Source organism: Homo sapiens, chromosome 2 (assembly GCF_000001405.40).
Source record: "Homo sapiens chromosome 2, GRCh38.p14 Primary Assembly".
Lineage (NCBI taxonomy): Eukaryota > Metazoa > Chordata > Mammalia > Primates > Hominidae > Homo > Homo sapiens.
Genome location: NC_000002.12, coordinates 201,404,313 through 201,422,139, shown reverse-complemented (window position 1 = coordinate 201,422,139; position 17,827 = coordinate 201,404,313). Strand labels below are relative to the sequence as shown.

General features: G+C 36.3%; 1 protein-coding gene and 1 pseudogene across 3 annotated transcripts in view; both read left to right on the top strand.

The window, feature by feature from the left end:
* TRAK2 (trafficking kinesin protein 2) overlaps positions 1-17,827 on the top strand; it is a 74,252-nt gene that overhangs the window by 29,319 nt on the left and 27,106 nt on the right. For 2 of the 3 annotated variants that reach the window (NM_015049.3, XM_047445578.1), the window contains exons 2-3: positions 1,434-1,723; positions 14,543-14,737. In NM_015049.3, the coding sequence (NP_055864.2) occupies positions 1,633-1,723; positions 14,543-14,737 (286 nt within the window). In that variant the 5' untranslated portion in view covers positions 1,434-1,632. Of the gene's footprint in view, positions 1-1,433; positions 1,724-14,542; positions 14,738-17,827 lie in introns of those variants that run through there. The other variant, XM_047445579.1, reaches the window with a different exon arrangement.
* On the top strand, positions 8,632-11,820 carry SCYL2P1 (SCYL2 pseudogene 1; annotated as a pseudogene).

The following is a 17,827-nucleotide window of genomic DNA, read 5'->3' as shown; positions in this document are numbered from 1 at the left end:
GCATGTGTGCATTTAAAAGTTTGGTAGACATTGCCAAATAGCCTTCTGAAAGCTTGTTCCAATTTGCACCTTTTTTTTTTTTTTTTTTTTGAGACAGAGTCTTGCTCTGTCACCCAGGCTGGAGTACAGTTGGCGCAATCTCAGCTCACTGCAACCTCTGCCTCCCAGGCTCAAGCGATTCTCCTGCTTCAGCCTCCCAAGTAGCTGGGATTACAGGCACCTGCCACCACACCCACCTAATTTTTGTATCTGTAGTAGAGACAGGGTTTCACCATGTTGGCTAGGCTGGTCTGGAACCCCTTACCTCAAGTGATCGGCCCACCTCAGCCTCCCAAGGTGCTGAGATTACAGGCGTGAGTCACCATGCCCAGCCCCAATTTGCACTTTTATCAACAGGGTATAAGAGTGCTTCTTTCTCCACACCATCTCCAGCAAAGAATATAATAAAACTAATGTTTGCTAATCTAGTGGGTGAACTTTTTTTTTGTTTATATTTTTGTTTTAATTGTGAGTGAAGTTGAGCATCTGTTTTATCAGTGGTTCTCAACCAGGGATGAATTTTGCCCCCCCCACCCCAGGGGACATCTGACAATGTCTGGAGACATTTTAGATAAAGCTGGAGAGGGTCTGGGGAAGCGATTCTGCTGGCACTTAGTGGGTAAAAGATCCTACAATGCACATGATGAAGCAATAACTGGCCCAAAATGTTAATTTTCCAAGATTAAAAAACCCTGTTTTGTATTATTCCATTTCGTCTTCTTCATTGGTTTATTATCTGTAATTCTTGAGTTTTTTAATTGGTTGGTTTCAGGTTTATGGTATACTTCTTTAACTTATCACAGTCTATCTTCAAGCCATATGTTACTGTTTCATGTGTAATATAAAAGCCTTACAACAGTATATGCCCATTTCCCCCCTTCTGGCCTTCATGCTACTGCAAAACATTCTACTTCTACATATGTTATAGACTCTACAATATATTATTAGTGTATTACTTTAAACAGTTATCTTTTTAAAAATTAAACACCTTTATTTAAATATAATTAACATGCATCAAATTACACATTTCAAGTGTACAATTTAACCACTTTTGATACGCATTTGTAAAACCATCACCACAGTCAAAATAATAAACATATTCATCATTCCAAAAACTTTTCTCCTGCCCCTTAGTAATTCCTCCCTTAACTCCAGGCAGCCACTGATCTGCTGTCACTATAGATAAGTGGACATTTTCTAGAATTTTATGTAAATGAAGTCATAAACTGTGTACTCTTTTTTTGTCTGACTTCTTTCTTCCAGCATAATTATGAGATTTATCCATGTTGTATGAATCATTAGAAAAACATTTTTCATGATGGACATTTTGATTAATTAGATTCCTGTTGTTAAAGAGCATGCTGAGTTCTAGTCACTTGATGTTTTTGTTTTAGGTCATGACTGTCCAAAGTATGATAATCACATGAGAGTGCTCGTTGCTACGGATGTCATTTGACTCATCAGAGAAAATCTGTCTAAAAGAAAATATCCATGTGACCAAATCCATTTCATTATTGAATGGCTTGATGGATTTCCTTTACTCTGATTCATACCAAAGCTGTCCTTCTCAACCAAAGCAAGAAAGGATCCTGCATGAGTCAATCCCAGAATGCAATTTTTACATCACCAACAGGTGAAGAAAACCTCATGAATAGCAATCACAGAGACTCGGAGAGCATCACTGGTAAGTCCAGTTTAATAAATATTGAAGTGCTATCGCTTATAGGAGAAAATGCAAATGCCTCAGTCCAGCATATATGACCTATCATGATGAAACCCAAGCCTCCCTTTCTAGTCTGATGTCCTCAGGGAAAAACTGAATTAATCTCTCCATCCCCTGTGTCCCCTGACGCATTAACAGAATCTGCCTTTCATGTTATTTCCTGTCTATGTCGGACTCCCCTGTACCCTTGAACCCCCGGTGAGTAGTAGCTGCATCATATCCATCTGATCTCCACAGGGTAAGGACAGAGTTACCTGTGTTTGTATACCCTGCAGGTACCTAACAACAATGCCTGGCACACAAGACTCTTGGGGTGTACAGCATATAACAAACATACATACAGGCCCATAACACCTTATCTGTAAGACTAAATCAAAAAACTCTGAGCAGTCAAAGTTTTTTTCTACACTTTTATTCAGAAACTCATTTGCCCACCAAACCAGACTTTGGCTGTTTCTAGACTTAACTCATTTAGTTTGAATACTCATATTTGCTGAAGATGTATTTATATATTTAAATATGAGGTGCTGCTGCAAAACCAGTTGGGGATGTTATATAACATACAGTTAATGTACAGTGCCACTTTTCTAAAAATCTGAAAAATTCTGAATTCTGAAACCCATCAAAACCCAAAGTTTGTTTTAATTTATTATCATTGGAGGTATGTTTATGAAGATACAATAAAATACACTCATTTTAAGTATACAGTTCGAGTTTTGACAAAAATATGCATTCAGTGTAACCACCAGTACAAACAAGTTAGAGAAGTTTTTATTATCCCACAGAAAGTTCCCTTGTACAGAGATCTCCCCACCCCTCACCTCCAGTTCCAAACAACCACTAATCTGCTTTCTGCCACTTTAAGTTTGCTTGTTCTAGAATTTCATATAAATTGAATGTGTCTTTTGTGTCTGCCTTCTTTTGTACAGCAAAATGTTTTTGAGATTTATCCACTTGTGATAAGTATCAGAAGTTGTTTCTTTTTATTGCTAAGCTGGAACTTACTCATCCCTGCTATTGTAGCAGAAAAGCAGCCTTGGACAGTACATGAAAAAATGAATGTGACTGTGTTTCAATAAAACTTGATTTACAAAAACAGGCGGGGCAGCAAGCCGAAGTTGGCCTGTGGGCTGTCGTTTGCTGACCTCTACTGTACATCAACACTTGGTAATGTCAGTGATTTTGATTTTAGCCATTCTAGTAGGTGTGTACTGGTATCTCTGATTTTAGTTTATATTTTCCTGATGACTCATGATGTTGAGCACCTTTTCATGTGCTTACTGACCATATCTAGATTTTATTTTGAGTTGTTTATTCAAATCATTTGCCCATTAAAAATTTATCTTACTATTGAAATGTAAGTGTTGAATTGTAAGTGTTCTTTACATGTTCTAGATGTAAGTCCTTTGTTAGGTAAATGGACCGTATTTTGTCCCAGACTTTGGCTTGCCTTTTCATCTTCTTACTGGTGTCTTTTGAAGAGCGGTTTTAAATTTTGATGGAGTTATCAGTTTTTGCTACTATAATTCATATTTTTGTGTCGTTTCTAAGAAATCTGCACATAAAAGAAAAAGTTTTATAGTTTTTACTTCTACTTTTAAGTCAGTAGTGTACTTTTTTGAGCATGGAATTAGGTTTGGGTCCAAGTTTTTGTTTTTTGCTTTCCAATTGGATATTTCATTGTTTCTTTACCATTTGTTAAAAATGGTCTCTTTACCCTTATTGAAATACCTTGATAATTTCATTGTCATATGTGTATGGTTCTATTTCTGAACTCTATCCTGTTCCTTTAATCCCTAAGTCTATCTTTACAGAAATACCACATTGTCTTATTTGCTGTAATTCTATAGTAAATCTTGAAATCAGATAATATAAATTCTCCAACTTTACTCTTTTTCAAAAATTATTCTGGCCATTTAAGATTTTTCACATTTTTATATAAATTGTATAATCTGGTTGTCAACACTTGAGCCGAGGAGTTCAAGACCAGCCTGCGCAACATAATGAGACCCCATCTCTACAAAAATAAAAACAGCTGGGCGTGGTGGCATGCACCTGTAGTCCCAGCTACTAGGGAAGCTGAGGCAGGAGGATAACTTGAGCCCAGGAGATTAAGGCTGCAGTGAGCTATGAGTGTGCCATTGCACTCCAGCCTGAATAACAGAATGAGAGAGCCTGTCCCTAATAATAATAACCAGCTTGTCATTTTCTCCCAAAAAAGAATGCTGGAATTTTGAATGGAATTACATAGACTCTGTAGAGAATTGATAATTTAAGAATAGTGAGTCTCCTAATCCATAAACTTGATATATATCTCCATTTACTTAGGTCCTCTTTAATTTCTCTTACCAGTATTTTATAGTTTTTATTGTATAAGTCTTGCACATATTTTGTTAAATTTAGTCTTAAGTATTTTTTTAAATGGCACTGTTTATTTAATTTCATTTTCCTACTGTGTGTTACTACTATATATAAATGAAATTGATTTTTTTAATGTTGACCATATATTCTGCAACTTTGCTTAACTTGCTAGTTTTAGTAACTTTTTGGTAGATTTCTTAGTTTTCTACATACACCATAATGTCTGCAAATGGAGACAATTTTACATATTCCTTTTCAATCTGGATGCCTTTTATTTATTTTTCTTGCCTTATTGAATGAGACATGATCTCAGTATATTGTTGAATAAAAATGGTAAGAGCAAACATCCTTGACGTATTTCCAATCTGAGGAGAAAAGTTACAGTATTTGACCATTAAGTCTCTTGACAATACCCTATATTAAATTGAGAAGATATCCTTCTCTTCCAAATTGGATGAGAAATTTTTAGCATGAATTTTGTCAAATACTTATTTTGCCTCTGTTGAAATGTTCATATGGTTTTTCTTCCTTTGTCTATTAGTGTGGTGAATTCTGTTGGTTTAGTTTTGAATTTTAAACCAGACTTGCATTCCTGGAAAAAACTACTTGGTTATGATATATTATCTTTTTTATATATGACAGGTTATATTTACTAGTGTTTTGTTAGGGAGTGTGTGTATATGTGTGTGTGTGTCTGTGTCCTTCCTAGTCCCATTAATAAGGGTTATTGGTTTGTACTTTTTTCTTTTTTCTTTTCTTTTTTTTTTTTTTTTTTGCAATGTCTTCGCTTTATTTTGATATTGAGGTAATACTGGCCTTGTAAAACGAGTTGTGAAGTATGCCTTTCTCTGTGTTTGGAAAAAGTTTGTGTGGAATTGGTATCATCTTATTTTTCATGTTTTTACTTTTTAAACTCATCTGAATCTTTACATTTAACTGTGTAGTTAATGTGGAGTTACATTTAACTCCACAGATAACTTATAATGGGGTCTTTTCTAAAAAGAAAATCCAGTCTGATCATCTGTACTTTCTATTTGCAGTATTTGGACCATTTAATTTTAATGTAATTATCACTTTAGTTGAGTCTACTGTACTCCTATTTTCTTTTTCTATTTGTTCCGTCTTCCGTTTTTTTCTCATTTTCTTTTTTTAAACTTTTTTTATTTTAATTCTACTGTTGACATATTAGCTATACCTCTTATTTTTCTCACTGCTTGCTCCAGGTTGCAATACATACCTTTAACTTATCAAAGCCCATCTTCAAATAACATTATATTTAATAAAGTGACACTCTTAAAACAGTATTCTTCCATTTCCCCCTACCATTCTACATATTATTATTACTATGCCTTTTACATCTACATATGTTATATACATAATACATTATTACCTTTGCTTTAAATTGCTAATTATGAATTAAATAAATTATGAAAATAAAAGGCTTATGTATTACCCACAGATTTAGCATTCTATTATTTCTTTTGTTGAATGAAGTTCCCATTCCATATCCTTTTTGCCTGTTTAACTTTAACATTTCCTGGGATATGGGTTAGCTGGCAATGAATAGCCATAGTTTTCTGCTTGTGTGAAAAATAAAATTACTTTTTTTTTGAGAAAGGGTCTCATTCTGTTCCCCAGGCTGGAGTACAGTGACACGATCATGGCTCACTGCAGCCTGAACCTCTTGGGCTCAAGTGATCCTCCCATCTCAGCCTCCTGAGTAGCTTGGACCACAGGCATGTGCAAACCCAGCTAATTTTTTCTTCTTCCTTTTTTTTTTTTTTTTTTTTAATGTAGAGTCAGGGTTTCACTATGTTGCCAAGCTGGTCTTGAACTCCTGGGCTCAAGCAGTCCTTTCACCTTGACCTCCCAAAGTGCTGGGATTACAGGAGTGAGCTACCACGCCTGGCCTATTTCACCTTTTTTGAAAGATGTTTTTCACTGACACATGATTCTAAATTGGCTTTTTGTCCATGTGTTTTAATGATGCTGTTCCATTGTCATCTATCTTGAAATGAATAATTTCATTTCAAGTGAATGAAACTTTAATGTTCTTTTTTTCCTATCTCTCTGCTTTTAGGATTTTCTTCTTTATCACTGGTTTTTAGCAATTTTGCTTTGATGTGGTTTTCTTTGTATTTATACTGCATGGAGTTGAGATTCTTTGAACTATAGACTTACTGTATTAATTAAACTTGGAAGACTTCGGCCACCATTTTTTCAAATATTTTTTCTGTTTCTGCCTCTTCTTTCTTCTGGGACTTCAGACTGCTTGATATGACACAGCCACTGATGTTCTGTTCAGTTTTCTCCCCCCAATCTTTTTTTCTCTGTGCTTCATTTTAGATAATTTCTATTGCTATGCCTTCAAGTTTACTGTTCTTTTCTTCTGGAGAATATCTAATCTGTTTATCTTATCTAGTGAGTCTTTCATTTTAGATACTGTACTCTAGTTCTATTTGGGTTTTTAAAATGCAGGCATATCTTCTGTTTCTCTTTCCATTACGTTCATATTTTCCCCTTAAATCTTTGAGCATATTAAAAATAGAGGATATAAAAAATTGCTGCTTATTAATTCTGTTATTTCTGTCATGACGGGTCTGTTTCTGTTGACTCATTTCCCTCCTGGTTATGGATTACATTTTGTTTATTTTTGCATATCTAGTAATTTTGTATGGACTGGTGAATATTATGAATGTTACATTGTTAGGTGTTTAGGTTTTGTTGTCTTCCTTGGAAAAGTGTTAAAATTTATTTTGGCAAGACTTTAAGTTATTTGCTGATAAGGTTAACCCTTTGAGGCTTGTTTTTCATCTGTAGGTCTACAGATCATACTCTAGACCAAGCTCTAGTGTGCTTGATTCTAGCACTGATTTAATTATCTTACCGGTAGGCATGACTGGGAAAAAATGGACATGAAGGAGACATTTGGAGGATAAAATGGTAGAGAAGGAGTTGTCAAGCCTGGGCAAGAGTAATAAATGGAACATTATCAGAATATGGAAGCAAGGTGGAAGAGCTAGTCTAAAGAATATTTAGCTTAATCTACTAAGCCTGGATTGTACACTTATTTTTAATATTACATTTTGGAAGTAGGGAATTATTCTAGTCTAGAAGAGATGCTAGGGACTAGTATCTCTTGTAATGAATGTCACTTTTGTTCTTCATCTCCACTATACCGTTGAATACCTAATAGTCTGTTTTTAGCTCTGCATGTATTTATAGTCAACTTCTCTTCCTGAGTATTAAAATGACAATCTCTATGTAATATATGTGTGGCAGGAAAAATTTGGATAATCACATGGAACTTGTAATAATAGAATTTGGATATATGTTCAGGTCTCCTATTTAAGAGATCTGTAAGGATTGAGAGCTTATTTAGAACCATATTTAAGGTTTTAAATCTGCCTCATCTCTATCTCATTGTGGTGATCAAGCCACTGCTTCTCCTTCTGGGTGAATAGGGATGTCTGATATTGCCAGCCTCCTTTTATTAAACTTATTAAAATGTCATTGTGAAGTCAAGGTCAAGTCGTAGGAATTTACTCTCTTAAGGATTTGTTTTCTTAACCAGTACTTTGTTGTTCTTTGCCAGAGCTAGAGCATGTTTCATTATACTACCCACAAAGGAAATACCACATCTCTTTAAAAGTGAGAGGGTTGATATGACATCCTGTACTTTCGCTATTTTAAGCCCTAGTATTTTAAGCATGTTAACAGAAATAACTCTCCTTTTTTGTAAACAGCTAAGTTTGGGAGGTGTTAAATGATGGGCAGTACTGGGAACAGGAAGATAGTGGCAGATACATAAAAACACAAAAGCTCAGTTTGTTCAGAGATGGGGGTGGGGGTGTTATAGGTGTGCAAGTGAGAGAGTAGTGATGTAAATAGTATTCAGTGAGTACCTGTGATCTGCCAGATACCCTGGGTGCCTTAATTGCTTATTTTAGTTACTTCTTACTACTGTTGTGTGTGATAAATGATCTTTATTTTACAAATGAGAGAAATTAAGGCTCTGAAAGGATGAATCGTGTGTCTAACAATTAGTAGAGGAGTCAGATTCAGAAGCTACGTCTGATGCCAAAACCCATGATCTTTCTAATATTAAGAGTGAAAAATAGGACAATAAGTAGATTAGACACCTGGAGGAATTAGGAGATATGTAGGACTAATACTGTATGTTGGAGACATGATGTGTAGGAACTTGCTTTCTAGGACAAGTTGTCAGCCTTTGTCCTGTAAATGGCAGATAGCAACAAGAATGGGTACAGTGCTGGATAGGAAGTCGAGACCCAGGTCTGGTGGTTCTAGTGTCCTCGGCAAGTTACCCATCTTTAAGTCTCAGTTTCCTTATCTAGGAGGCAGGATTGGATGGTTTCCGAAAGTGTCTTCTACCTTTAATACTCTGTAATTATTTAGATACTATAGCAACCTTATTTTAGCAGTCTTGATTTGATCTCTAGGTGTAAAAACTCAATAGTAATACAGTAATAAAAATAGCTGACAATAGGTCTTTCAGTCTTTTCCCCCCTCCCTTAGTCTTCGTCCCCAATCCCTCCCCTCCCTATCCCTTTCCCTCCTCCAGCTGCCACGTGTGAAGGCAGAGCAGGAACAGCCTGTGTTTAGGGGGGTGGGGAAAAAGAGGCCCAGTTCTGCCCCTCCTGGAAGGAGAGGGAAAAGGTAACTATAACTACCCAATATTGCAGCCATGGAGTCCATGTTTAATAAATTGAAGAGTACTGTTACAGAAGTAACAGCTGATGTCACTAGTGCTGTAATGAGAAATCCTGTCACTAGAGAATTTGATGTTGGTCAGCACATTGCCAGTGGTGGCAGTGGGCTAGCTTGGAAGATTTTTAATGGCACAAAAAAGTCAACAAAGCAGTGGCTGTTTTTGTCTTTGATAAAAAATGATTGACAAATATCAAAAATTTGAAAAGGATCAAATAATTGATTCTCTAAAATGAGGAGTCCAACACTTAACTCGACTTCAACACCCTCGACTTCTTACTGTCCAGCATTCTTTAGAAGAATCCAGGGATTGCTTGGTGTTGTGTACAGAACCAGTTTTTTGCCAGTTTAGCCAGTGTTCTTGGTAACTGGGAAAATCTCCCTTTCCCTATATCTCCAGACATTAAGGATTATAAACTTTATGATGTAGAAACCAAATGTGGTTTGCTTCAGGTTTCTAAAGGATTGTCATTCTTGCATAGCAGTGTGAAAATGGTACATGGAAATATTACTCCTGAAAATACAATTTTGAATAAAAGTGGAGCCTGGAAAATAATGGGTTTTGATTGTTGTGTATCATCAACCAATCCTTCTGAACAAGAGCCTAAATTTCCTTGTAAAGAATGGGACCCAAATTTACCTTCATTGTGTCTTCCAAATCCTGAATATTTGCCTCCTGAATACATACTTTATGTGAGCTGTGAAACAGTCAGTGATATATATTCTTTAGGAACTGTTATGTATGCTGTATTTAATAAAAGGAAACATATATTTGAAGGCAATAAGCAAGACATTTATAAGAGTTTCAGTAGGCAGTTGGATCAGTTGAGTTATTTAGGATCTAGTTCACTTATAAATATACCTGAGGAAGTTCGTGAACATGTAAGGCTACTGTTAAATGTAACTCCAACTGTAAGACCAGATGCAGATCAAATGACAAAGATTCCCTTCTTTGATGATGTTGGTGCAGTAACACTGCAATATTTTGATACCTTATTCCAAAGAGATAATCTTCAGAAATCACAGTTTTTCAACGGACTGCCAAAGGTTCTACTGCCCAAGCATGTCATTGTACAGAGAATTTTGATTTGACTTCAGAATTTGTAAACCCTGACATGGTACCTTTTGTTTTGCCCAGTGTTCTACTGATCGTTGAGGAATGCACCAAAGAAGAATATGTCACATTAATTCCACCTGAACTTGGCCCTGTGTTTAAGCAGCAGGAGCCAATCCAGATTTTGTTAATTTTCCTACAAAAAATGGATTTGCTACTAACCAAAACCCCTCCCAATGAGATAAAGAACAGTGTTCTACCCATGGTTTACAGAGCACTAGAAGCTCCTTCCATTCAATACCAGGAGCTCTGTCTAAACATCATTCCAACCTTTGCAAATCTTATAGACTACCCATCATGAAACATACTTTGATACCAAGAATTAAAAATGCCTGTCTACAAATGTCTTCCCTTGCTGTTCCTGTAAATTCATTAGTGTGCTTAGGAAAGATTTTGGAATACTTGGATAAGTGGTTGGTACTTGATGGTATCCTACCCTTCTTACAACAAATTCCATCCAAAGAGTCTGCAGTCCTCATGGGTATTTTAGGCATTTACAAATGTACTTTTACTCATAAGTTGGGAATCACCAAAGAGCAGCTGACTGGAAAAGTATTGCCTCATCTTATTCCCCTGAGTATTGAAAACAATCTTAATCAGTTCAATTCTTTCATTTCCATCATAAAAGAGATGCTGAATAGGTTGGAGTCTGAACATAAGACTAAGCTGGAGCAACTTCATATAATGCAAGAACAACAGAAATCTTTGGACATAGGAAATCAAATGAATGTTTCTGAGGAGACAAAAGTTACAAATATTGGGAATCAGCAAATTGACAAGGTTTTTAGCCACATTGGAGCAGACCTTCTGACTGGCAGTGATTCCGAAAATAAAGAGGATGGGTTTCAGAATAAACATAAAAGAGCATCACTTACACTTGAAGAAAAACAAAAATTAGCAAGAGAACAAGAGCAGGCATAGAAGTTGAAAGGCCAGCAGCCTCTTAAACCCCAAGTGTACACACCTATTGCTGCTGTTAAACAGACTAAGGACTTGACAGACACATTGATGGATAATATGTCATCTTTGACTAGCCTTTCTGTTAGTACCCCTAAACCTTCTGCTTCAAGTACGTTCACTTCTGTTCCTTCCATGGGCATTGACATGATGTTTTCTACACCAGTTGATAATACAAAGAGAAATTTGACAAATGGCCTAAATGTCAATATGGGCTTTCAGACTTCAGGATTCAACATGCCCGTTACTACAAACCAGAACTTCTACAGTAGTCCAAGCACAGTTGGAGTGACCAAAATGACTCTGGAACACCTCCCACTTTGCCAAACTTCAGTGCTTTGAATGTTCCTCCTGCTGGTGCGAAGCCAACCCAACAAAGACCCACAGATATGTCTGCCCTTAATAATCTCTTTGGCCCTCAGAAACCCAAAGTTAGCATGAACCAATTATCACAACAGAAACCAAATCAGTGGCTTAATCAGTTTGTACCTCCTCAAGTTTCTCCAGCTACGGGCAGTTCAGTAATGGGAACACAGATGAACATGATAGGACAATCTGCCTTTGGTATGCAGGGTAATCCTTTCTTCAACCCACAGAACTTTGCATAGCCACCAACTGCTATGACCAATAGCAGTTCAGCTAGCAATGATTTTAAAGATCTTTTTGGGTGAGGTGTCTATTTTGAAGGATTATTTCAGTTCCAATCATGGGTGAGCTGATTTACATCTTTATGTAGTTGGCTTGGAGGAACTACTTCTATGGGACAGTGAATGGTTCTGTGACAGAAAACATCTGTGTCCATGCCAGCATAGTAGTTGTATGGACTTCTAACCAGTTGAGTTTTTTTAAAGCACTGAGGATTTTTTTCCTCTTACCAACTCCTCTCCAGGTTTTTTGTTTTTTTTTTTTGAGACGGAGTCTTGCTCTGTCGCCCAGGCTGAAGTGCAGTGGCGCGATCTCGGCTCACTGCAAGCTCCGCCTCAGTGGCGGGTTCACGCCATTCTCCTGCCTCAGCCTCCCTAGTAGCTGGGACTGCAGGCGCCCGCCACCACGCCCAGCTAATTTTTTTGTGTGTGTTTCTCGTAGAGACAGGGTTTCACCGTGTTAGCCAGGATGGTCTCGCTCTCCTGACCTCGTGATCCACCCGCCTCGGCCTCCCAGAGTGCTGGGATTACAGGCGTGAGCCACCGCGCCCGGCCCCTCTTCAGGTTTTTAAAGACCCAACCCTTCCCAGTCTCAAAGAGAAAAAGGACAACTGAGTTATCTTGAATAGCTGAATTTTTTAATCAAATGTTTATTTTGGCTTGTGAATCTTGGTGTTATTTAAAAAATTGAGTTGATGGTCATTGCAAGCTCATCTATTTTAAGTACCACATGGTACACAGTCTACCTTCACAAGTCATTAGTGTTCACTTTAATATGTAAAAAATCTTGATGCTGTATTGATTTGCTTGCATTTAAGATGACAGTGAGAAAATGATAAGCATAAAGAGATCAGCTTATTTGCTTTTTCCGAGGTTACTTTTCAGATGAACTAATGTTTAGTACAAAGAGACTGAGCAAATACTACAAAATTTAACTTGACCTACATTTCGTTGGCTAACCATCTTAAATGCAAACTAATCGTTGTAAATTATATTTTAGCATGGTCTGCCTCAAATGGTAATGTATTTTTCTGCCTTCACTTGGATATATTTAGAGTCACTTTGGTATATGCTGATTTGTTTGGATATTTGACAAAGCACTCTGATGTGACTTCCCTGACTACTAACTTCATATTTCATTTCAAATTCAAACTTCTGAGGTTGCAGCATATATGAATTGTGTTTTCAAAAGGAGATTTGTAAGAATTAAACTATATTTAATAAGTAAACTTTTGAGATTTCTGCCGTATTTTTTCAAATGTAATAAACTTCTCTCTCAAAAAAAAAAAAAGCTGACATTGATAGAGTGCCTCCACAGTGTGCAAGGCGCATTGTACTAAATATAAGTATTTTTCATGCATTTGTCTCATTTAATTCATATAACCTAGGAGGTAAGTACCTTCTCCATTTTACAGATGAGGAAACTGAGGGTTAGAGTTTAGGTAACTTACCCAGTGTCACATTGTGGTATATGCAGAGTCAGGACTCAGACCAGGACTATCACTGTACCATAGTAAATTTATGTTATGTGAAGGATAGGGAAGATTTTTTAGAGGAAACTTTTTCCCCTCCCCTTTCCGATTTCCTTCACCTCACATGTTTTGGGATTTAGATGTACCACTTCTTTAAAATAAAAATGATAAAGGACTTATTTCAGTACCAGTGCTCAGTAAAATTTAATGCAATTTTTAAAAAAATTTAATGACTTTGAGAATATACTAAAATGTAATTTTTCCAGATTTTGAAGAATCCTCCACAGAATTCAAATTTTGTCATTACAGAGCATATCATTTTATCCCTTTGGAACTATTTTCTGCTGGTTGCTTTGTATTGCTTTTTCCCCCAGGCATGTAAGTTGAGATCAGACCTCTTTCACTTTATTTTTAAAAAGTATATATCCAATTATTCTGTGTCAATTAAAAATACTTTTAAAAATTCAGCAGGCTGCTGCTGCTTCAGAGACACAGACCTCTTTTAAACCGTACTAAATAGATTGATAGGGAGAAAATATGAAATTTCTACAAATTCTGAACTTTAAAAGCATAGTTATAAAGACAGGAACAACAGACGGGCATATGTGAGGGATGAGCATGGGAAGAGGGAGAGGATCAGAAAAAATAACTGTTGGATTACTAGGCCTGGTACCTGGGTGATGAAATAATCTGTACACCAAACCCCCGTGACATGAGTTTACCTACATAACAAACCTGCACATGGACCCCTGAACCTAAAATAAAAACTTTTAAAAATTAAAAAATTAAAAATTAAAAAAAGCATAGTTATAGTCACTAAGCAATATATTTAGATAGTATGTAATTCAGATTTGTGGTATCTGCATGTTCTCACTCATGTGGAAGCTGACAAAGTTGATCTGCTAGAAGTAGAGAGTAGAATAGTGGTTACTAGAGGCTAGGAAGGGTAGCGGGAAGGAGGGATCAGGAGATGTTAGTTAACAGATACAAAATTACAGCTGGATAGGTGGAATAAGTTCTGGTGTTCTTAAGCACCATAGGGTGGCTATAGTTGGCAATAATTTGTTGTATATTTTCAAATAGATAAAAGGTAGGATTTTGAATGTCCTCAATGCAAAGAAATGATAAATGCTTGAGGTAAGGAATGTGCTAATTACCCTAATTTGATCATTATACATTGTATACAGGTGTCAAAATATCACATGTACCCCATAAATATATTCAATTATTTTGTGTCAATTAAAAATACTTTTTAGAAATTACTGTCAAAAAATGTATGCCATCATTTTTACTTTAGAAGTTCTCTTACTAAAAGAAAAAAAACCTGGAGAAAAAAAAACTATACTACTAGGATATACTAATAAAAATCAGTGGAGAAATGATCTTGTCTAGTATTTCTTTGGTTATCCTACTTTAGAAAAACTAATTTTCATCAATTTTCTCTGTAGCCTAGTAAAAGTTGAAATATATTGGATTCATTTACATAGACTCTCCTCTTTAGATGTCTGCTCCAATGAGGATCTCCCTGAAGTTGAGCTGGTGAGTCTGCTAGAAGAACAACTACCACAGTATAGGCTAAAAGTAGACACTCTCTTTCTATATGAAAATCAAGACTGGACTCAGTCTCCACACCAGCGGCAGCATGCATCTGATGCTCTCTCTCCAGTCCTTGCTGAAGAGACTTTCCGTTACATGAGTGAGTATTTTTTTTACTCTTTTAGTTTGTGCATTAAAGTAATGATCATGGGTATCTTGGTATTGATTTTTAAAGCACTGATGTTTAGTAGCCATTGTTCAGTGTATACCTACTTTTATTTGAACTGATTTCACAGGAAGAGATAATTCTGTGTTATGTCTGAATGCAGAAAGTTTGTCATCCTTATGACTCTCAGTGTCTAGTGTTGCAAACATACTTAGACGTTTTCGTTACTTGATATTTTCCTCAGACTGAGTAGAAAAGGGAACTTTTTAAAAAGCAAAGTGATTTAAAATTTTAATATTCCTTTATAACTGTCAACATTTATTATCCCAGTAGTTTGTTATCCTAAGCTATCAGCTTTTGACTTTTATCTTTATTAATATCGTTGGTAAACACAGTCACAAGAATTATGTCAGCATAACGAAGCATAGTTCTTAGGTACATAAGTAGTTTTAATAATGCCAGGAGAAATAAATATACCCTATATAGTAATCTTCATTATTTAAGGATTCCTAAGTGAGAGACTGAGCCAGATTTGTTCTGAAAATAGGTCTGTTTTACACCAAGCTGTTAGAAAAGACAAATGAATTTTTAAACTTTGAAGTGTGGAGACCTTTTTGCATTTGATCCCAAAAATCTGCATTAAGGCTGAAATTACTTTTCTAAAAATTCATTTGGTAAAAAATGTTGTGTGCACAGTAGCTGTTAGAATTTATAATAAAAGCTTATGAGTTCAATACTGATATGTTTGTGAAATTCCTTTAATTAGAATTAAGTAGGTGATTGCATCAGATCCTGGACATTTTCCCAGTGAGTGCTTTAGTGTTTTAATGCCAGATTGTCGTTGGAGAAGGACTATTGTGCAATACTCATTTTCATAGTAATCACTAACTTGTTTTCAGCACTAGTTTCCTAGAATTTTTTTCTAGTCGTTTCTTAGAACTTATTACTGCTCAAAAAAAATTATAAACATTGTTTCAGCTGAAACTGAAATATCAAGAAGCCCAGTGAGTGTTGTGGTGTTTTAATGCCAGATTGTTACTGGAGAATGTCTACTGTGAAATACTCATTTTCATAGTAATCATTAACTTGCTTTTAGCACCAGTTTCCTACAATTTATTTCTAGTAGTTTCTGAGAACTTAACTGCTCAAAAAAAGTATAAACATTGTTTCAGAAACTAAAATATCAAGAAGCCCAAATACTATTGTGTTTTTGTCCTTAATATTTCTTTTAAATAGCTAAATTAAGTTAAATTAAGGCTCCAAAGGCTTTCTTGACGTTTTAGTTTGAGAATTTGCTTGCTTGAGATTTTTCTGGAAAAACATTTTTAGAAGGAACAGTATTTCTTATTTCTAGTTCCCTTTGTTCATTGAGTGTTTAAATTTCTGAGAACTTTCTTTTCTTTTCTTTTTTTTGAGACGGAGTCTCGTTCTGTTGCCCAGGCTGGAGTATAGTGGCACGATCTCGCCTCACTGCAACCTCTGCCCGCCCCGGGTTCAAGCAATTCTCCTGCCTCAGCCTCCTGAGTAGCTGGGATTATAGGCGGGCGCCACTATGCTGGCTAATTTTTGTATTTTTAGTAGAGACGGGGTTTCACCATGTTGATTGGGCTGGTCTCGAACTCCTGATCTTGTGATCTGCTTGCCTCGGCCTCCCAGAGTGCTGGGATTACAGGCGTGAGCCACTGCGCCCGGCCTAAATTGCTGAGAACTTTCAAACTGAAATTTCATCTGGATAAATTTAGTTTGTCATTATTTTGACAAAGCGTCACAGAAAGTGCCCTTTAGTTTATTTGTTCTTTGTGGACCCCTGCAATCAATGTCACTTGAGAAATTGTTAGAAATTCACATTCTTGGGCCCCCTACTCCACCTACAAAATTAGAAACTCTAAGGGTGAGACAGTCATAGCTGCCTGTGTTTTAAAGAGTCTTCCTGGTGATACTGATGCACACACAAGTTTGAGAACCACTGATACAAAGCATTGCCAACCAAAGCAAATGGCCATTTCACAGTGACATTAATTGGAGAATTAAGGAATCGGAGAGAGTGTATAATTTTGCAGATAAATATGGTCATAGAAATTATTACTTCCAATTGGTAGGTATACTTTTCCTCAGGCTCTGCCCTCAAAAATTATTAACCTGTACTGGCAGAAAAGAACATATGACTGATGAAGTTCAGGAAGCATTAACCATAAACCCAGTCATAGAGGTTAGCAGATTTATTTTTCCCTTAGATAAGCTCTCTCCTTCGGTTCCACAAGAGAATTAAGCTATACACCCTAAGACACTTAGCGTTTATACAGTGGATTACCTTATCACCCATGCATCATGTACTAGCTTTGTACAATTCTTGGGAGAATTGAGAAAATTGTCATTCAAATGGTCTGTAGGGCCTGATTCTCCCCTGGAATCCTGTTGAGAAAGACTGCCCTAGATGGTGTGTATCATCAGTTTCTCTCAGTCATTTTGAAGGCAGAAATGTTTGCTATATCGTAGCAGCAAGGGCTGTGGTCACTGCTTTAGGGTTAAAACCTCAAGACCTGCCTGTAGGTGTCAGGAGCTATTGTAGCTTTTACTATGCCATGTGGGCACTGTTTGTGTTTCATTTCTATTTTGTTGTTGTTTTTGTTGGTTTTGGTGTGGGAAAGTTGGAGAGTGCTGCAAGATTAGAATTCTTTTTGAAATTCTATAGTTGTGGTAAAAACTTTAGATCTTGAGAAGGGACATATGAGAGAACTATCAAGCACCATCTCATGTAAATGACAGATATTAGAATGGATTATCATTGGTGTTTCCCATCCTGAAAATAATGTGAGATTGAGCTAGTTAATGTGAAATTATGCAGGGACAGAACATAAAGTAAGGATTAGTGAAGTGCTTATGTATGTTAAACTCCCACCCTGTATTTTCAGGAACATTAGATTCTCCAAACATTACACCAAAAATGTTGAACATTAATTAACAACCTCTGGAAACCAAGTTGCAAAATTGTTCTGTAAAAATATCTATCGTCTCCCTGATGTATAAATACTTTTTTAGAGAGTTAGGGAAGTCTATGTCTGGAAATAAGCAAGGATCATTGCT